Below are 23,405 nucleotides of genomic sequence, written 5' to 3'. Positions count from 1 at the left end.
CTCCCAGATATTTTTAATAATGATTTGGTACACACTTGACTCTGAACATAATGACGAGAACACACTATCCAAGCTACTGGAGCAGGCTATGAGTTATCCTGAAGATGTAGTTTTGTTTTGGTTCTCTTTAGTACTCGATAGCCAACAAGCCCAAGACATGTCTCATCTTAGTGTTGTTGTTGACACTCATTCAGAGATCATGCTTGAAGGAAAGACCTCATCAGCCTTTTGTGGGAGAGACTTTGGGCTAATTATAGCATAATACTCTATTTTTAGAAAATCTCTCTTTGAAAGTTTCTGTCTGCAGTACCAGATTTTGCCATATTTGTGTACTTACTTTTACTCTTTTCAAATGTTCAAGTTACAAAATTCTACCTGGCATATAAAATATATGTAATTTACAAAATGGATGTAGTAGTTTATATTATCAAAAAATGATATGATTCTTAGCTCAAAAAATGTCTTCTGCACTTTTGCCTCTCTCTGCCTGTATCATTCTTCTCCAGATACTTTCATTACTGGTATTTTATCGGGCAATTTCTTGAAGATTCCCTTCTTCAAGGCCTCCATTGAACACCTATTTAAAATTGCAACATCCAGCCCCCCTGACACTCCCCAATTATGTGATTTATTGCCATTCTCGACTTATTTTATCTCTGTATAACTTATCACCATCAAATATAATATGTTTATTTGTTTTGTTGTCTATCCTTTACCTCACAGAAATGAAAGTTCCATGAGGCTGTTTTATGTGGTTCTTTGACTGTTGTAGACTCAGGACCTAGAATAGTGCCTAACGGGTAGCAGTCACTTAAAATAAATGTGGTAGGTGACCAAAATATGTGTGCAAACAACCTATATATGAGACCTTTCATAGACTCATAGAGCTACTTCCAATGTGGTCCAGGTGCCAGAAGCATCAGCATCACTTAGGAACTTTGCTTGTTTTCCTAATACAGCCTTGTTCAGATATATAATTGTTCATATACCAAACAATTCATTAAAGTGTATGATTAAATGATCCAGAGTTGTACAACTATCACCATCATTTTAGAATATGTTCATCACTCCCCAAATAACCCATACCCATTAAGTCACCTCTACTTTTCCTCAACTTTTTCAGTTCTAGGCAACCACCAATCTACTTTCTGTCTCTATGGATATTTCATATAAATGGAATCATACAACATGTGGTCCTTTCTTGTGGCTTCTTTCACCTAGCATAATGTTTTTGAGTTTTGTCCTTGTTATAGCATGGATTAGTAAATCATTCCTTTTCACTGTGAGATAATTGCCCATTGTATGGCTACACCACATTTTATTTATCCATTCATCAATTGATGAAAATATGAATTGTTTACACTTTTTGTCTATTATGAATAATGCTACATTCATGTATACATTTTTGTATGGACACCTACATATATTCACTATCTTTGAAAGCACTTAATTGCAAAATTTTTATTCAGTTTCTCAAGCATCATTTGACATATTACTATTTTTACTAGCTTTATTGAGGTATGATTGACAAAATTATATATATGTAAGGTGAATTATATGATGTTTTCATATGCATATACATTGTGAAGTGATGACCACAAGCTAACATCCATCACCTCAACTAGTTACCATTTGTGTGTGTTTGTGTGTGTGTTTAGTGAGAACATTTGAGATTTGCTCTCAGCAAATTTCAAGGCTACATTATTAGTAACTATCATCATCATGCTGTATATTGGATTTCCAGAATATATTCATCTTGCAATTAAAATTTTGTACCCTGTGACCAACATCCCTCCTTTTCCTCCACTTTTCAGCCCCTGGTAACTACCATTCTACTCTCTGTTACTGTGAACTCAACTTTTTTTTTCAGATTCCACATATAAGTGAGATTATGCAGTATTTGTCTTTTTCTGTTTGGCTTATGTTACTTGGCATAATGTCTGCTGGGTTTATTCATGTTATCACAAGTGGCAGAATTTCTTTATTTATCTCTCTGGGGACACTTAGATTAATTCCTTCTCTTGGCTACTGTGAATAGTGCTGCAATGAACATGAGAGTGTAGATACCCTTTTGAGATGCTGACTTCATTTCCTCTGGATATGTACCCAGAAGTGGGGTTAATAGTTCAAATGGCAGTTCTATCTGTAATTTTTTGAAGAACTTTCACACTGTTTTCCATAATAGCCATACCAATTTACATTTCCACTAACAGTAATGCAGACTTAACAGTCCAATCCAGGAGGTACTGAATCAGAGGCTGATTTTAACAAAACCCTAGGGTGAGTTGCTCATTAAAGTTTGGAAAGCAGGTATGGAGTAGGTACTCAATGAATGTTTCCCAAACCTAAATGCTATATACTAACAGCTGTGGGCTAGCAAAATGTACATAATTATGGTCTTTTATAATTAATGCAGTTTAGATTAATGAACAAAGAGAAGCAATAACAGAAGGGAGCACTGGGCTTTAAATGTTTAATGTTCTAGTGTGTATCATTTCTGATTCTCCTGAAATTCCGCATTCAGGTTGAATCCTTTGTTAGGCATAATCTTGTGATGGAAACACTAAAGGAGACATGAAGAGGAAAGGACATTTTAATAAAAAAATCAGATGTTATTTGCCATAATTAGTGGAGATAATCACCCATTAGTCAGTCAATAAACTTAACAGGAAGTATTTTTTAAATAATTACGATGATTAAATACAGGATTAAAAAGTTGTGAGAGTGAATGCCGTATGTTTTTATTGTTTCAACTCTTAGTGTTTTTTTAGTTATTTCTAAATCCTGTAAATGTAAAAGTACAACAATAGAGGCACTTTTAGAAAGTAAATTTTTTTTCTGTCTTACTTGGACTGGTACCTATTATTTTCTACTTTGGGCTGGTACCTTGAAACACTGAAGGCAGAGAAAAATGGGAATAATTATAGTACCAAAAATGTTTTGAATGAATAAACACATCATTATATCAATCAATCAATATGAGGCCTTAGATACTAAGGTGAGGGCATTGAATATTAGGATTAGCATTAAGTCTTTCTGGGAAATAAGACCATGGTGAGTTTTCAACCTAAATCGTCCTAGGAAATAAGGAGGAGTAGCTGCCCTGTAGGCTAGAGGGAGAAACTGCCAATGAGAAAGTGGGTACAACAGAGAAAACCTCTTTCCAGTTGTATACATGCTGGCCTCTCTCTCTACATCCAAGAATACTCTGAATATTGCTTAAAGGACCATAAATACTTTAAAAACTGAGCCATATATAAGCCTACTCCTATGTATTTTCATATTGAAAAATTTACGTGTGTACATTTTCATTTTTTTTTCCTCATAGTATTTTAAGAACATTTCATGAACTTGAAAAAACACAAATATAATTTTGTAAATGAACATCATGTTAATTTATGTTAAATTCAATGCTGATTTAATTTCAATTATAAAATGGGCTAGAATGAAAAAGAACAAATGAATTAGTAAAGTCTAGGGCGTCTTTTTACTTATGTCATTGGGGCTAATTTTCATGTTCTATCTTTGTGTTATTCTTAAGTTAAACAGGTCTTTCCCTTAAAAGATGTCTAGTTTGTATAAATGACACAGTTACACAAGTGATCCATGTATCTACCATAAAAGGGTAGGAATGTGCAAAAAATAAATTACACAGTGTGTACACAAATCTAGAATTTTCTGATCTTTCTGGTGAGAAAAGTGTTGATTAAATGACTTTTTACTAGTTAATAATAAATATAATTTTCCAAAATAAGAAATCTGAGCTAAATTTTTGCTGTGATAAAATTATGATCACTTATGAGAATAAATAATTACTCTTTTCACAAATATTTTATTCATTTGCAGTTGTCACCTTTTACATTAAATGATTTGTTGATGCCTTTTTTTCTCTATTACTCTGGGGCATATTTCTGGAAGAAGGATATTAAATATGGACATGGCCAAATTTTGCAGCTAAGACATTCTGCATTTTGTGATTTCCATATGCTGTATCCAAACAGTCCAGAGGTTTTCTTCCAGTAACATAGTTACTCTCATAGTAAATGTCATTGTGTCTTGTTTTTTTAAAAAATTTAAACAATAGAAGTAACATTACTTATGTTTTGGTAGAACTGAATTTTCAACATTTAAGTGTGTTTTCTCCATGACAAACTCTTACATTTCTTAATTAAATATTAAAAAGTAGTTGGAAATAATCAGCGAAGTTACTACTACGGAGATGACATTTCAGAAAACCTGTATATCCCACTCTGTTGCTGCTACCTTGCTCTCCCTTTACCCTTACCAGATAAACTCTAAAGTTGATAGTAAATGCTTTTATTTTTCTACCCACAATTACTTTCCCCACTTTTTCCTTACTAAATAAACCTCTGTTTCATTCAGGTATTGCCACTTTCTGTGTGACTATGTACAGGGTAGGTTTATCCCAACCACAGACTCAATATTTGAGTCCTAATTGTCCTCAGCCAATCATTAAAGATACCACCTTCATTGCCATTGATTGATTTGGGTATAGTTGAAATGCAGTTGTTGCCACTGAAATGTGATTATGTCTGCTGGGAGATTTCTGATAAAGATTTCCTCCCCTTTTAGAAAGATACAAAGGAAGAGACAATCTATTTCCCAAGAATAGGCATCCTATATCAATTCTCTCCCCCAACCCCCAGGATTATGGAATTATCCTTCCTTGGAAAACCAGAACAGAACATGAATCACCAAAGAATCTGTATTTTCTGTTGACTTCATAGGGCCACTTTTCAACTGCAGCACTGGGAGTAGCATGGAGCAGAGCTTCACACATTCCTTAGAGCTCAGTACTCTTCCCACTGAGATTTGAAAGTCTGATCCTCTTCCTAGTATTCTATCAGAACAGCTCATGCAAAGGAGCAGTCCGAAGACAGACATGGAAAGCTTTCTGTCAAGATAGTAAGTGGGTACTTATGTGATTCCTTGGAAGGAAAAAGAAAAAGAGAGACCTGAGTATATTTGCATCCCAAGTGTGCAGGGCAAGCCATCTTGTTACACCTATCATCTATTTCAAGTCAAACCTGATCCTCTTAATCTTGAGAATATTAACATCTTTTAAGCTGGAAGGCAGTGTGGGATAGTAGAAAGAGCATAGATTTCAAAGCAAGACAGATTTGGAACTGGCTCCCAACTCTCCCATTTAAAAGACCATTGACCTGGTGTATGCTTTATCTCTGAGCCTCAGTTTCTACATTTATGAAAAGAAAAGAACAATACTTAACATATCAGATTGTTAGAAGGACTAAGAGATAATTTATAAAGTGACTGGCACCTCAATTGGCATATAGGAAGCAGTTAACAAATGCTAGTTATTATAATATGTTAAACCTAGTGATGTCTCTGTAAAATCAGCTGTAAAGAGAGAGATTTCTATGCTGTTATTTACTGTCAAGGAGGATTTTTTAACCAAATTTTCTTAGTGACTGATGTGTTTCACCATCAAATTATTCACATAGTAAATATCCCATATTTAATAAATTTTAAAACAAATAGCAATAATAACTACCATGATAAAAACACATAATCCATTACTCATTTAGAGATCTAGAGAATCCAGAGAAGTGGGGAAGGAGACAGAGCACATTACTAAACCATGTGAACAATTTGGATGGAGAACTGAAAAAAAAGCCTCTCTCTTCCTTGCCTGAGTCTCTGGATGGTGTAGACATTTACTACAAGAGTCAATCTGAGGATTGCCCCATATTTGTGGGGGTTCTAATGCTCTTCGTTTTGTTCCACTCAGCTCTCTAATATGCTTTAAAGTGGAGATGAGCACCAACTTTCAGTGGCTGCTTTCATTTAAGGGAATTAGCACTGTATCTGCAGAAATTCTTCCGGGAGGATGGTTTTGTGTTTGGGCCCACTGTTGATGCAAACGTGTCTCTATTTACATGATATGCTGATCATTTCAGTTGGAAGTTGCTAGTTAGAGAAGATGTGCTATCACTTTCTTCCTGGAACAGCCTTTCCCCCACAGTTTACCTAATTAACTCACTTATCCTTCAGGCCTCAGTTCAAACCTCACTTTCTCTAGGAAGCCTTCCATGACCTCCAGATTAGATTAGGTCTCATACCACATTTCCATAGCTTTCTGAACCATACAGCATTTATCCCACTATGTAATTTCGTGTATGTGCCATTGTTTATTTAAGATATATGTTTCCTACTTGAGGGAAAGACGTGCGAGGGCCAAGGCAGGGTCTGTTTGTATATTATTGCAACTGGACGGACAAGTACCATGCCTAGAAGAGAGTGGGTACTGAATACATATTTTAAATTAATGAAGTAAAGAAGTAATGTTAAAAAAAAACCTGAATAAAGTGAATGAATCAATGAATATCATACTTCAATTCACAGAATAGCCAAATCCAGGAGCACTCCTTTATGTGAGCATAATGGTCAAAACCTGGAGCCTATGAGGTTAAATCCTGGCCCCATAACTTGCCAGCTGAGTGTCAAGAGGCAAACTATTCAATCTCTTAGTGTCTCATTTTCCTTATCTAAACAAAGGAGATAATGATATTGCTTCCACCCAGGGTTGGTATGAGAATTAAAAGAGTGTGTGGCACACAAAAAGCACTAAATACATGCACACCATACATACCACCCCTCTTTCTCTCTCTCATGTGGAATTCTCAGTGCCAGTTCATTCAATCATTGGTATTTAAATGCACTTATCCTTGGCTTGCATTAGTGTAAATACTTTATGTAATCTGTTACATATGAGCTCAAAGCTTAGAACTGCTACAGAACTCTTGCAAACATGAAGGAAATTGGCTAGAGCCAGAAGCACAGGTGAAAAGGCCCAGAAGCACAGGTGAAAAGGATGAAACGAACCTGGAACTTAAATGACAAAATTGGGTCAGTGACTCAACCAACACTGGATTTATTATCTTTTGCAACTTCTTGACATGTGATGTGATAAATGTCCCCACATACAAGCCACTTGGTATTAGAACTTCTGTAACATTAAGTGAGAAGCTTTCTATATGATATGATTAGACCAATCTAGTCAGCTACTTTCTGATAATATCCAAGTAGTTGAAATCTCGTGGAGATAATCTTAACATCTAAAGTGGTTATCACCTAATTTGTTGGATCTAATCCCTTTTGGACTCTGTGCTTCTTTGCAAGCTTTTTAGGTTTTCCTTGTTCTCCTTCTTCTAGCCTCCTATGTGGTTGTTGTAATTGTCTGTAATTATCTGCTTACTTATGATTCCTATGAGTCTCCTACATTAGAACATAGGCTACCTGAGAGCAGAGACCACACTGCTTTGTTTCCTACTTGATATGCAAGTAATAGCAACACACCAACAATACCAAAAGGCACACCATATGAATGAATAAGTTCAGTCTATAAATCAGAAATAATCCACAGCCTATATTTATGGATAATTAAACTCATTCAGTTAGGGTAAAATTATGGAGGATAAGTTTCTTATCAGGTCCTATCCAGACTCCATAACATGTAATTTATGGACTTAAAAAATGATTTTTTAAAGAATGGTTAAAACATACAGTAAAGCTTGAAGAAGTAAGTTATAATTTTGGGAGGAATAATTGCCTTATTCCTTATTCTCTAGATAATGAGAGGGCCCATCTCGTAATTATGGTGAGGATTAGGCAGAATTGTACAAGTAAAGCACTTACAGGTACAGTAAGCACTCAAGTTTGGTTAGCACTAATTATTACCATGTATAGTTAAATATATATTAGATTACTTAATTCAGTAATACCGCAAGGAAGTTAGCCTTATTTCTTTTTTCTTCTTCTTCGTCTCTTTTTTGTTTGTTTGTTATGTTTTTTGAGATGGAATTTTGCTCTTGTTGCCCAGGCTGGAGTGCAATGGCACGATCTCGGCTCACTGCAACCTCTGCCTCCTGGGTTCAATCGATTCTGCTGCCTCAGCCTCCCTAGTAGCTGGGATTACAGGCATGCACCACCACATCCGGATAATTTTGTATTTTTAGTAGAGATGGGGTTTCTCCATGTTGGTCAGGCTGGTCTCGTACTCCTGACCTCAGGTAATCCACTCGCCTTAGCCTCTTAAAGTGCTGGGATTACAGGTGTGAGCCACTATGCCCGGCCGCAATTAGCCTTATTTCTATGGTACTGGTGAGAAAATTGAGGCTCAGAAAAATCAGCAACTGGCTCAAGGACGCAATCAAAGTTACTAGTGCAATAAATATCATGCAACTCTAAAGTGGATTCTGTTTCTACCATGCCACTCTGGATAAACAAGCTATAGCCAATATGATACAGATAGTAGAAGTGCTACTTCATCTCTAATGAAGTAAATGTCTCCTGAAAATTGAAAATTGAATGAGTGAAACTATAGGTTACCCAGACAAACTGTATGTAACAAAGGTAAAGGTACACATTTTCAAGGAATTAAAACAATTCTGGAAGTTGGCAAAATGTTTTATTACTCTTTCCCTCTTATTGGATTATCTTGACTTAAGCTTACAGATATTTCTCAGAGACATACCACCAACTTAATAATTTACTGGGAGCTGTTGTAATTTACATGTCAGTGTCTCTAATTTAAACAGCAATGATATGTACCTTTTTATGCATGAAGATAAGCTCTTCGTTCTTAGCTGGGAGTTTGTGTCAGCAATCATTTAGATTGCTCAAATATAAGATTTGCTGATGTGAGAAAATTCCAAGCTGGTTAATTGCATCAAATGTTTAAGTGAAAAGTATCTTCTTTACAACCCTCAACTGTCATCAAGGAGGGGGCTAAGTACAATCTGAACTCTCTTTTTGCAATTCTATAGTGACAAAACTGCTGACCTGGTTGTTCTTTCATCAGCTCATGCTGAACCCAAAATGAAGAAAATAAAATACAAATTTTGAGTCTTTATGTAAACATCCAGATGACATATTCTGCAAGTAAGGCAGTTTTGAATAATAAAAACTTTTGTACAGAATTTTACATTTTGTCATGTACAAAAGCTTACTTCAAACATTATGCAAAAGGAGATTGAATGTTCTTTCTCAGATGTAGCACATTGTTTTGGATGACCCAGCCCTGAAATCTGCTATGATTAGTAAATAGAAAATCACTTTTTATTACTTTTCTAGTTTTTTCCCACAGGAACACAAGTCTACAAATGTATTTATTAATTATTATGCTCTCTTTATATTTTCTCTGACCACCCTAAAATAAGATACTGGAGTATTTTCCTCCATAAATGAGAAAAGGAAACTAATGAATCCATTTAAAGTAGTAGTCATAGGCTTTAGAAAACATCAGAACTTATACATTACATGAAATTCAATTATCCCTCCTTCAAACAGAAGATAAACACCATTGAATTTAAATTCCTTCTAGAGCCCTTCTTCTGTAACCCAAAACTTAATATTTCTCTCATTCTTGAAGTTAGTAATATTAAGACTATCTCTCTCACAAGGTAAATATGCTTTCTGTTTTTGGGTGTCACTCTCAATTTTTTTGAAACAATACATTTTTCCGTCTTACTTTAATTCATCCCTTGTCATCCATTTCTCATCCATTACATTCTAGCATTCATATCTATCCCTTCCCCACTGAAATCGATCTCACTAAGTCACTGATGTTCCCAAGTTTTTAACACAAGTTTCTGTCTTTGGTTTTCAGCCTAATTTTTTAGATATTACTACCAATAGAATGGTCTCCTGGATTTCCTCAATATCTTTGCTATTTCTTATCTTTCCATTCATTAAAAAACACATTGATTAAATGGCTACTCTGTTAGTCATTCATCTAGACACAAAAGACAAATAGACTAAAGAATGGCCCTAACAGTTTGGATATGTGTCCCTGCTCAAATCTCATGTTGAATTGTAATTCCCAATGTGGGAGGCATGGCCCCATGGGAGATGTTTGGATCATGGGGGCGGATCCCTCATGGCTTGGTGCTTTCTTCAGGATAGTGACTGAGTTCTGGAGAGATCTGGTTGTTTTAAAGGGTGTGGCATCTCCCCCGCCTCCCCTCTCTTTCTCACTTGTTCCTGCTTTTGCCATATGACATGCTTGCTCTCTCTTTGTATTCAGCCATGACTGTAAGCTTCCTGAGGCCTCCCTAGAAGCTGAGCAGATGCCAGCACCATTCTTCCTGTAAAGCCTGCAGAACCATAAGCCAATTAAACTTCTTTTCTTTAAATTACCCAGCCTCAGGTATTTCTTTATAGTAATGCAAGAACAGCCTAACATAGGCCCCAACTATTTTGGCATGCAAGCATAAATTTTACAATAAATACTTACAATATAATGTCATAGTGTTATAAAGGCAGTATGTACATGGGTCAATGGGGGTAAGAAAGAATCAGCCTCTGATTTTTTATTGGAAAAGTTTCTCCTCATGATTTATTCACTTGTACATCTTCAATATACACTCATATTAAAAAGCTTACTAATTTTTTTGTCTTCTGCTTGGAACACCCTCTTGACCAAAAAAATGCATATTTTTAACTAGTATTTAATACTATCATTTGAATATGTTGTAATCATCTTTAAATGAACATGGAATTCCTGAATTTTTTAAAAAAAATTTAAGAATGAAAAAGTCTTCTACTGTATAAAAATCAATTCTACAAGAAATGTTAAATTTAATGGAGAAACATTTCCATTAACATAAAGAACCAAAGATATGGCCAGGTGCAGTGGCTCACGCCTGTAATCCCAGCACTTTGGGAGGCTGAGGTGGGAAGATCACAAGGTCAGGAGATCAAGACCATCCAGGCCAACATGGTGAAACCCCATCACTACTAAAAATAGAAAAAAATTAGCCGGGTGTGGTGGCATGTGCCTGTAGTCCCAGCTGCTGGGGAGGCTGAGGCAGGAGGATGGCGTGAACCTGGGAGGCAGAGCTCGCAGTGAGACACAATCATGCCACTGCACTCCAGCCTGGGCTACAGAGCGAGACTGTGTCTCAAAAATAAATAAATAAATAAATAAAAATAAAAGAACTAAAGATATATACCATTATTTTTAATTTTAAATATTCCAAAAACAGATTCTAAACATCCCAAAAAAAAAAAAAGTTAAAATGCACAAGTTGAGTGGGAAGTGATACAATTCAAAAGAGTCCATTGAAAAGCTACAAAAAACAAGAGCAATTGGTCAATTACCAATTCAAGACCAACATATAAATATTTGAGCTCTCATATCCCAAAAATGATCTGAAAAATTGTAACAAAACAAAAAAACCCAACAAGATGTCAAAGAACAATCCTGAAAAAAAAGGAAAACTCATGCTAATATTATTTTTCAATTTTATTTAGCATGTAAAATAATACAAAAGTTGTTTTATAGAAATACACTGTATTCTTGGAATGTAATACTCAATATTGTGACAATGTCAGCTCTCTGTAAATTAAGCTATAAATTAAATGAAATGATAATTAACATCCTAATTGAGGCCTGGCACAATGGTTCATGCCTGTAATCCCAATACTTTAGGAGGCCAAGGCAGCAGGATCACTTGAGGCCAGGAGTTTGAGACCTGAGCAACATAGCAAGACCTTATCTCTGCAAAAAACAAAATAAAATAAAAAATTAGCTGGGCATGATGGTGCACACTTGTAGTGCTAACTACTCATGAGGCTAAGGTGGAAAAATTGAGTACAGTCAGCTAGGATTGAACTACTGCACTCCATCCTGGATGATAGAGTGAGACCTTGTCTCTAGAAAATTCATTAATTAATACTAATTGAATTTTACAAATTATGACAATAAAATGAATCTAAGGTTTTGTATTGGAAGACAAATACAACTGAATAGCCAATATTTAAAAAATTATAAATGGTATATTCATCCAAGTATGAAAATATATAATTATTTACCAATCTAAACATTGTGATATTGACATGACAATACAGATACAAGTAAATAAAAATGGAAGGTCCAGAAAAGGGTGGGTGTTAAGACAGAGGGAGAGAGAAAGCTCTTAGAATGGAATTTTGAATCAATGAATAAGTTATAAAATATTTAGTAAGTAATGTTTTAACAATTGTCTACTGATTTGAGAGAAAAAATAGATTAATTTGTATATCACACCACAAATAAAAACTTTAGATGGATATGAAGTAGAGTATCAAAAATAACAGCAAAATCAAATTTAGTAGAAGATTTTTCTTTTTAATATGATGTGAATGAGGAAAGATTTTTGGAAGATGGAATAAAATGCAAAATAATAAATGATAGTTTAAGAAAATTTAGGGCCGGGGGCGGTGGCTCACTCCTGTAATCCCAACATTTTGGGAGGCTGAGGTGAGTAGATCATCTGAGGTAAGGAGTTCGAGATCAGCCTGGCCAAGATGGTGAAACCCCATCTCTACTAAGTATACAAAAAATCAGCCAGGCGTGGTGGCGTGCACCTGTAATCCCAGCTGCTCAGGGGGCTGAGGCAGGAGAATTGCTTGAACCCGGGAGGCAGAGATTGCAGTGAGCCAAGATCACACCACTGCATTCCAGCCTGGGCGACAGAGAGAAACTCCATCTAAAAAAAAAAAAAAAAGAAAGAAAAGAAAAGAAAATTGAGAATTTGTATAGATTAAGATACCATAAACAAAGTTAACAAATAAGTGACAAATACCCATAAGGTACATATAAGCATGTGTTTAATAATACATGAAGACCTCCTCTAAGCCACCATGAAAATAGAAAACAAAACATGAAATCAGTGGCATAAAATAATAAGGATGTGAGTGGGTAATTCAGCTAAAAAGAAAACTAACAACACAACTCGTGGAAATGGTCAATGAATATTCAAAAAGATACCCAAACTCACTGGTAATTCAAGAAATTAAAACCATAAAAATTAGGCAAGAAAAAGAAATAAAAGGCATCCAGATAAGAAAGAAGTTAAATTGTTCTGTTTGCAGAAGACATGAATTTATATATATAGAAAACCCTGAAGACTCAACCAAAAACTATTAGAACTGATAAACAAGTTTAGTAAAGTTGCAGGATATAAATTCAGCATACAAAAACAAGTTGTATTTCTATATGCTAAAGATGAACTGTCAAAAAATAAATTAATAAAGCAATCTCACTTGTAGTAGCATCAAAAAGAACAAATTACTTGAAAATAAATTTAACCAAGGGGGTAAAAGATCTGTACACTAAACACTATAAAACATTGATGAAAGAAATTAAAGAAGGCTCAAATCAATGTAAAGATACCCTGTGTTCATGGATTGGGTAAAAGATCTGTACACTAAACACTATAAAACATTGATGAAAGAAATTAAAGAAGGCTCAAATCAATGTAAAGATACCCTGTGTTCATGGATTGGAAAAATTACTGTTGTTAAAATGGCCATATTACTCAAAGTGATCAACGAATTCAATGTACTCCCTATAAAAACTCCAATGGCATTTCTCACATAAATAGAAAAAACAATCCTAAAATTGGTATAAAACCATAAAATACTGCAACTAAATCAATCTTGAGAAAGAACAAAGCTGAAGGCATCACGCTTTCTGACTCCAAGCTATATTAAAAAGCCATAGTAATCAAAACACTGGTACTGGCACTAAAAAAAAAAAAAAAAAAAACAGGCACATACACCAATGGAACAAAATAGAGAGATCAGAAATAAATGCATACATATATGGTATACTATTGTGTGACAAGGGCATCAATAATATACAATGGGGAGAGTCGCTTCAATAAACAGTGTTCGGAAAAATGAATACCCACATGTAGAAGAATGAAATTGGATCCCCATTTTACACCATGCACAAAAATTAACTCAACAAGGATTAAAGACTTAAATGTAAGACCTGAAACTGTAAAACTCTTAAAGAAAAAATAGAAAAAAACTTCCTTGAAATTGGTCTTGGCAATGATTTTTTAAATATGACACCAAAAACACAGACAACAAAAGTAAAATTAAACAGTTAGGACTATATAAAACTAAAAAGCTTCTGTATGCAAAGGAAACAATATAAAAAAGCAACTTACTGAATGGGAGAAATGCAAACCATATATCTGATAAGAGATTACTGTCCTAAATATATAAGGAACTCATACAACTCAATAGCAAAAAATCAAAAACAAAAACAACCATGAATACTGCAATTAAAAATGGGCAAAGGATCTGAAAAAAAACATTTTCTAAAGTAGACATACAAATGGATATCAGGTACTTGAAAAGGTGCAAATACTACAAAATGCTAAAAAATGAACATACATATATAAACATATATATATATATCACATTGAATTTCAATGAAATAAAAAAAATCTAAAGGTTGATCCAAAAGAAAATGGCTACATAAATGATTCTGTCTAGCCAAGTATAAAAAACAAAACAAAGCAAAAGGGACCTTTTTACATAGAGATGTGCAATAATTTCCATACATTTAGTTGAACTGTCTAACTGTGATATTCATGGAAAGCAAACCCTGAAGCAAAAATTATATGCTACTGTGCTGTTAGAGAGTGCAATTCCAGCAAAGTCGGAAGGACCAACACCAGGATGCAGGGTGGCACTTGGTGTCCATCCCCAATAATTGCTTGATCTCCAAGGACGGTATTACCAGAGAAACAACAACTTGTCAGAACACGATGGCTCATTCTGGGAAAGAAGGCAGAAGATTTTAGTCATGAGCTCTCGTCTCCCATATCTCAAATATTTGCGTCACAAGTGTCAGTCCCACTGCACTTCTGTGATATGCGTGTGGACACCTAGAGAGATCTGCTTCAATGACAGCTTTAACAAGGATGCCAAGAGCCAAGGGGTGAGAGCTGTGGAGCAGGCAGGAGACAGCCGCTACTGGGTTGTACCTGCATGGAGTTGGTGGTCATCCACACATTGCTGGTTGCCTCAGTAAAGTCTCAGTCAGGAGATCACAAGCCAATGGCCTAGGGGAAAAAGACTGAGAGGACCATAGGGGGAAATAAGATTAATGTAACATGTATGTTGGGGGTCACTTAACTTTTAGATGCATGGTCACGTAACTTTTAACAGTGCTTACCTCTGAAGAGATTAGATTTAAAAGGAGAAAGTAAAATACATTTTGTTTTATATACTTGTCAAATGACTTTGGAAGATGTTTATGGACTATTTCAACACAGTTATATTTTTAAAAGAATAATGTATACAGTTTTGCATACTCAGATGCCTAACTGCAGGAACAATTAGGCCAGCTCTAATTATAAATTTGGTTTATCTAAAACTTAATTTGCCGTATCACCCACCACTGTTTTCTAGGTTACTAGCATCATCATAGATCCAACAACCAAAAATAAAAAGCTTAGTGAAATTCTCAGTTCTCTTCTCTCTCTCTCAATCCACATGTAGTCAATAACCACGAACGTTGAACTTCAACCAAACACATGATGGGTCAAAGCAGATATTTGCAAAGTCACGTAGATGAGCCAGACCAGTTCCCAGTTGCAGCAGGCTATCATTGAATCATATGTGTTTACATTTCTAAAGAAATAATGAGTCATGCAGAAAGCAGTGGCACAGGTCAAGAAACATTCACAGGTTTATTTACCTTTCTGCCTTACTTTCCCCATCTGTAAAATGAAGGTCAATGGTAGTATCTGCCCTATAGAAACCACAGTGACAGAGATTAATAGTGCCAGTGCATTGCCTACAGTGTTCCAGAGAAAATCTATCTCGACAAGCACTTAATATCAGATGTATTGAATTACAGCTGCAACAACTATTACCATTACAACCCTGATCATGGATTCTTACTAAGATCCAGGCATTTTTCCAATTGCTTTACACGTATGCATAAACACTCTTAAGCATCACAAGAATCCAGTATGTTAGTAATATTGTCATTTTACAGATGGGAGAAGTGATTCCCTGAGATACTAGTTATCTTGGTCAAGGACAAGCAGTGACTAAGTGGTGAAGCCAAAGTTCAATTCTCATTGAGTCAGGCTTCAAACTCTGCTCTTCAATGGTCATGGCTGCTCCAGTCTAATTATTGTAGTATGACTGAGTAGCAGTAATCTCTATGCCAAATTGCCTCGATATGGACTAACGATGTTGAATTCTCAAGCACAGAGAGCTAAAGAGCCAGAGCCAGATCCGCGAAACTGTTGATCCCTCAAAAGTGTTCGCACGACACGGGGATGTGGGGCATAGCAGGTGCTCTCATGTGTACAATAGCATCTTGTTTTTACCTCTTGCAAAAATGTTCACTTTAATGATACAAAACCAGTGGTTAAGAACATGGACTTTGGAGTCAGCTGCCTGTAATCAAATCCTGTCTTCATCATTTATACTATTTGTATGACCTTGGGGAAGTTCCTTTACTACTTTGTGCCTCAGTTTTCATAATTGTTAATAGAGCCCATTGTATGTATATACATAAACTAGATAATGAGCTCCTCGAAAGCAAGGACATAATGCTTATTGTGCTCTGTACTTCCAGAACTCAAGACAATTGCTAGACTATACTAGGTCCATCATAAATATCGGTGGGCTATTGAGTAAATGAAATGGAATAGGCTGTTTCTCTCATTCTATCCAAACTGCTTATCGTTTAGAATCAGCTCAAGTTTTCCTCCTGATTATTCCAACTTTCATCACTAGATTGCTTCGCCATCTGTTCTTCATTTATACACAGTCATGCAATTCTACATTTTCAAATGATTGGAGGTAGCTAATTTATAAAGCTTTCTTCAGAACTATGTGCAATCTATACTATAAAAATCAATCTTAATTTAGTGCTAGCTGATTTGGTCACCACTTTATCTGATCAGTTCCACTCCTTTCCACTCCAACTCAGGTTAAATGTTCATTTCTCAGGAAAGGTTTCAATACCCACAGACTAGTGTGCAGTCCATATGTTGCCTTCTCATAGCATGCTGTGCTTATTACAATTGTCATTAAATAACAATTTGTATAATTGTTTGTTTAACGTTCCTCTCATCTCTTGCATGGTGGGCTTCCTGAGAGCAGGGGAATTGTATGGCTTACTATTTTCTGTATCCCCAGAGTCAAGTACAGAACCTGTACTTGGGGATGCGCAATATATCATCCTTGAATATATTCTCCTAGGCAATGCTTTGGCAAATGACAACTTTCAAGTTTTGGGTTTTTTGTTTGTTTGTTTGTTTGTTTTTTCCTCAGAATCTTCAGTGTAGGAGATGTCTGGATTGGTTATAACCTTTAAGAACTCTGTGCTATCACTACACATTATTTTAAAACAAGTATTCCAATAAAGAAAAGCATACGCTGAAAAATACGGCTTCTCCCTTGGGAAAGTCTGGGTAGCCATTTAGACCGGCAATAAAATGATGCACATGGTAATCTAAAATCTAGATGTATTTCATAGAAAACTCAATATTTTTTCTAAACTGCTAGATAGAGCTTCAGTAATTAAAACATAAAGAATATTAAGTCATAATTTCTTTCATAATCACAAGAATAATGTTGTCTTCTTTATACACTATTTTTAAATTGAGCATTTAATCAGTTGCATAGGACAGTTTATGCGGGAACAATGCATGGGCAACTCTATTTGTCTATCCATCTATCTATGGAGCTGTTGAGCAATCTATCTAAATCCTATTACAAAGAATGGTTGGGGAAAAGATTCCTAAATAGACAAGATTAGTTTAATTCACTCAATTCATTCATCAATTTATAAATGGTCTGTTATTACATGGACAGTAATTCAGTTGCATTGGCAGTTTGGTTTAGCATTTGGAAACTGAATATTCCAACCAAAGTATATCTACAGTTTTCAAAATCAAGTATCAAAATGATTTTAAAAGATAACCGATATAATGAATAAATAAAGTTTAACTGGAGGAAAAGTTTCCCAGACATCCATTAATCTCAGAAAAATAACAGAAATGGCCCATTAAATGTACATAATCAAGTTCCACAAAGAGAAATGAAGAGAGGACTAAAATGTTCCTATTAAAGACTTTCTTTCAATGACTATTTTAGGCCAAATAACAAATTGTTATTCTGAGATATGGCTATCTTGATTTAGAAATAAAATCAATCATCTCTATCTATTGACAACAGCGTTGACATACTGAATTTTCTCATCGTGTTTGTCTTATTTTTACATATGGTAATTACAAGTTAATATTAATAAAATAATATGCATAATGTCCTGTCTAATCTTCTCTTTGTAAACTGAAACACTGCTTTTTCTCTCACTAAAATTTGAGTATGTCATTTCCTTTGAACACATGTGCCTCCTTTCTGCCTAGGCTTCACAGTAGTAAAAATATTCCAGGGCCCAGAATATTAAAGGAATTTAGTAGACCAGTGATCTGATTTTTTTTTTTTTTTTTGAGACAGGGTCTCACTCTGTCACCCAGGCTGAAGTGCAGTGGCAGGATCTTGGCAAACTACAGCCTTTGTATCCCAGGCTCAAGCAATTCTCCTGCCTCAGCCTCCTGAGTAGCTGGGATTACAGGCATCCGCCACCATGGCCAGCTAATTTTTGTATTTTTTACTAGAGACGGGATTTCACCATGTTGGCCAGGCTGATCTCGAACTCTTGACCTCAAGTGATCCACCTTCCTTCGTCTCCCAAAGTGCTGGGATTACAGGTTTGAGCCACCGCATTCGGCCTGATCTGATTTTTTAAAAAAATGAATTATTATGGGAAACGCTTCTAAGCGGAAAAAAATATAACAACTCAGACTGGAGGAAGAATAGACTAGTTAATTCTTAAAATGATTGTAGCGAACAAAAGAAAATAGGAGCCAGGTGTTTAGTTGATATGATACCAAGTAGATCTCTTTTGTGATCCTGGTTACTTCATCCAGCTCCATTGCATGATCTAGTTTCATAATTTCTGGAAAACTGTGCTGGAAGATAGGGATGGCTGGGGAGATCTGGGAGAGAAAGGGGTTAATGGAGGACACTCACACCATCCCTGGCCACTTAGTCATTGGTCAGCCAAACACATGAAACAGAACTTTTTTTAGTCATTAAAAGCTGAGATGAGCTATTGGCTATCAGGGCAATCTAGAACTGCCATTATTACTTGCTTATAGACTTCATAAGAAGTAGTAACACACTTAATCCAAGTGCTGGAGTGGTCAGGAGAAAACTGCATCACTGCACTTTATCTTTGGCTGTGTCCTCACCCAAATCTCATCTTGAATTGTAGCTCCCATAATTCCCATGTGTTGTGGGAGGGACCAGTGGCAGAGACCCCCACTTAACTATTCTCATGGTAGTGAATAAATCTCATGAGATCTGATGATTTTAAAGGGGTTTCCCCTTTCACTTGACTCTCATTCTCTCGTCTGCCGCCATGTGAGACATGCCTTTCTCCTTCCACCATGATTGTGAGGCCTCCCCAGCCACATGGAACTGTAAGTTCATTAAACCTCTTTTTCTTTATAAATTACCCAGTCTCAGGTATGTCTTTATCAGCAGCATGAAAATGAACTAATACACCCTCCCATTATTGCCTTGGCTGGAACTAAGGTAATTCCTTTGATTACTAAGGCTCAATACACGGTAGGCACACCGTTGCATCGGTTCAAAAGGCATATCCTGGACTTTTTATTAGTTGTATTAAATAAGTATGAGGAAAATTTTAGCAACTTTGTAATATATTATTCTCATGTGTTTACTGGCTATTTTCTCTATTTGCTTTGTGTGTTACCTATTTTCTTCCTACATCAGATATTCAATTTGATCATATATGTCTTAATTTTCATTTTTAATAACCTCTATCTTAATGTTAGCGGACTATGTTAAATTTACATTTTATCAATATTTCATTGTCTTTATGTATTCAGTAATGTGCATTAATAAGCAGTAGCATTCAAAGTTCACAGATTCTTTTTATTTAATGCAACAAAGACCACTTATTGACCATCACTTGTCATGAGTTTGGTTTTATAAGGAACACAGTAAACATAAATCTTATGATTTTCAGGAAATCTTTCACTCTGAGATTGAAACATGTTCCATGAAAACGAGAAACAGATGTGCAATTGAAATATAAAACTAAATAAATTTAGAACTGCAATTTAAATCCCTTTATAAACCCAGATCAATATATAGACTGTATATACTTTTAAATTTTACATTGGTTTTTCCTTTGCTCTTTTCTCTTGAATGCTGTTACATTTTTGCTCAATTAACTGAAATTATACATAATATTTTAAATTATTTAATTGCAATAAATCTCCTCCTACACAGTCTTAATTGGCACAGGCTAAATGGAGGAAGTAATATGCCTTTTTTTATTCATGCTCACCAAAACATTTCCTTAGTATTTGCAGCTTTGACCACAGGTGACTTTTTGATGCTGGGCTTTTTGTTTGATTATCAAGACGATAAGCCTCCTACACGGTGAAGGGTAGGACTATGAGGCATTGATGATTTGTTTCTGGACTTGTAAGGCCTCAACCTCAAAGACAGAACTCAGCAGTATTAGAGGGGAAGCAGTATAGGGCAGTGTTCATCCTGGATCAGCCCAAATTAGATGTCCACAAGGAAGCCATCTATGCAGAACCTAAAGCTGCAGGAAAGTGAGCCTGCTAAGTCAGTTCATATGAATGAAGAGAATGACCAGGATATGTTGACAAGCAAAGACAAAGGAACTAGATGGGTAGAAAGTTAAAGAGGAAGAATATAAGGAAAGTGGATGGATGATGAATATGATACTTGTGTTGCTAAAAATGATTTTTACAACCAAGAGAGTATTGAAAGATAAGCCAGGCAGAGTGTGTGCTTGCAAGAAGTTTGGGGAAGCAATAGCATGAACTGACATCAGTAACATTACAAGAATTTTCACAGGTAAAGATAAAAGGGTTTCTGACTGAGGGAACAGCAGGATCAAATTTGTGGATGCCTAGATGTGCCTAATCTCTTCATAAAATACAGAAAGTCTAAACTACGGAAGTCTAAAGGGGAAAGAGACTACCAAAAAGTCATGTTGAGAAGGATCCTGAATTCCATACTGCAGGCCAGTTTCTGTCTGCAACCTGGAATCATCTAAAATTTCTGGAAGAATCAAGTGGACATCACTGATACTTATTTTAGGAAATAAGCTTTGGAAACTGCACAAAGAGTAAATGGGGGAGGTGAGAGTCTGGGTGCAGAATCACAGTAAGACTATACTGCAGTAGACAAGGGAGAAGCTAAGTGCCAGTGGCAAACAAAATGGAAAAGGAACAGTAAATATGATGATGATAATAGTAATAAGTACTTATTCAGTTATTTAATAATGACTTAAATAGCATTTAATAATGTGCCAGCCTTTACCACAGAAACTTTAGACATATTAACTCTTTGAAAAATCATAATAGCTCTGTGTTTTAGGTACTATTATTATTCCCATTAACACATAAAAAATTGTGGGACAATGAAGGTAAGTAATTTGTCCAGTTTCACACAGCTATTTAGAAATGAGGAACAGAAGATACAGCAGGTACGATAAGTATAGGGAGAATATTCTTTACATGTTTCTTGTATTCCTACATGTTTTAGAACAGAGATACTTATTCCCTTTGTCCTCTTCTATCTCCTTACAGATAGAGACGGTGTCTCCCGTCAGGGCAAAGACTTGGTGCTTTTGGTTGCATATACCTTATAAAAGATTTGGGTTTCCAAAGATCAGAATTCTTTGACTGTGAAACAAACTCACTGTGTGTCCAGCATCCACCTGAGTTTTCTCTGCACCACTCCAATGTGACTGAGGAGTCAAAGGAAACTGGTGTGAACATGAAGCTCATGCTACCTGCTGTGCCATGAGTAGCAAAGTTCTTTGTGTCTGATCCTGGAGTCCTGTGTCTTCTGCAGAATCTGTGAAATTGTAGCCAGCTAACCTGTTAGCTTGTAAGATGATAAAATCTCAGATCCTTCACAATTCTCTATGATATGGTGATTTACTTCTTGACTACAGAGATGAAAAATATAAGAAATTGTGACTAACACTGATATTTTCTTCCAGGGTTCTTTAGAGGTATCCTCCAACAGCAATGGCAGTAAATATTCAAATGAGAACATATTTGTGGAGAAGACAAATATTTTTGTACATGTTTAATTTGGGGTGCTGTTGATGTATCTTTGAAAATAATGTCAATGAACTATATATGTTCTGAAAAATATGAGGGGGATCACATCTAGAAGTATGCATTTGGTAAAAAAATATGCATAGAAATAAAAGATAAAATCACAAAAATGTCTAAGGTTATTATTAAGTAGAACTTAGAGAGAAATGATGGCTAAGGACAGAATTTTTAAAAAGAGGGCATCAATTGAAGCATGAGCAGATGTGGACAATTTAAAGCGGAAAATATTAGGGAAACAGAGGCAGACCCCAGAGAGTACAGTGATCTAGAGGTCAAGAGAGAAGAGCATTTAACACGGAAAGATAAGATATTCAGGTCAAATAAGGTATAAAGACAGAGGAGGACTTGGATAGAAGAAAAAATTGGCAATGATGTTCTCTCTTTTATTGGGTGCTATCCATTCAGGGATTATGAGTGTTGCAGGCAGATTGTCTTCAAGGTGTATCTTGGTTGAAATAAACAGCACCAAGGATTAAAGCAACAGTATAGAACTTCCCAGTACAGATTAAGAGTATAGTTTTAGTGAATCCAGAAGGGTAATAGTCTGAATTCCAGACAGATTGCAGGCACCTGAAAAAAAAATATCTGCAGGTTAGAGCTCCAAACATATTGTATTCTTAGATGATACTACTATTTCCACGAAGCCTTGCAGAAAATAAGATTCAAGTAAAATATTTGATTATTTCTACATATACGGAACAAGCAACTATTATTTCTCAGACCATTACAGGTCCTTAGAATACAAAACTGAATAAGACGTCATTCCCTTAAGTTGATGTAAACCACCATTTATCATGCAATGGAAAGTGATGTATTACTGACCAAAACAGGATACTGTGAAATCATAGGGAAAAGGCTCTAACTTTTGGAAATCTGAATAGAATACTCCAAGTAGTCAATGCTTGCATTAGATCCTTATTTGTTTCCAGGATGAATATGGCAAGTAAAGCATTTCAAGCAACAGCTGCAACTCATGAAAGTGCCACAAGTTATGAGAGAACTAACATTCAGAAAATTAAATTAGTTCATCAAAGTTGGAACTTTCATTGAAAGTGTGAGAAATGACAAAGGTAAGACTTGATGGCTGGTTGCACCAAAACATGGCAGGTCTAGCATGTTGTGTTTGAAATCAGAAATTTATTCAATAGGTTCTGAGAAGCCATTGAATTTTTTAAAATAAGGAATAAAGTAAGATTTCCATTTTAGAAAGATTGTTCTGGCAGTATCTTGGGAAGGGAGTAAGAAAAAATGACAGAAAAGAATTAAGATGATTATCATCTAATTGAGTGATAATAAAAGGTAAAACTACTGTAATCCCAGCACGCTGGGAGACCGAGGCGGGTGGATCATGATGTC

At 35.6% G+C, this 23,405-nt stretch overlaps 1 long non-coding RNA gene across 2 annotated transcripts in view; it reads left to right on the top strand.

The window, feature by feature from the left end:
• Positions 1-21,628, top strand: part of LOC105371656 (uncharacterized) — a 62,271-nt gene extending 40,643 nt beyond the window's left edge. For both annotated transcript variants that reach the window (XR_922371.3, XR_922370.3), the window contains exon 3: positions 21,510-21,628. This is a non-coding gene — a long non-coding RNA (uncharacterized LOC105371656). The remainder of the gene's footprint in view (positions 1-21,509) is intronic.
• The last annotated feature ends 1,777 nt before the right edge of the window (positions 21,629-23,405 follow it).

Source organism: Homo sapiens, chromosome 1, assembly GCF_000001405.40.
Source record: "Homo sapiens chromosome 1, GRCh38.p14 Primary Assembly".
In the NCBI taxonomy this organism is placed as follows: Eukaryota; Metazoa; Chordata; class Mammalia; order Primates; family Hominidae; genus Homo; species Homo sapiens.
The sequence above is the reverse complement of the archived record's forward strand: the minus strand, read 5'-3'. Positions and strand labels throughout refer to the sequence as shown.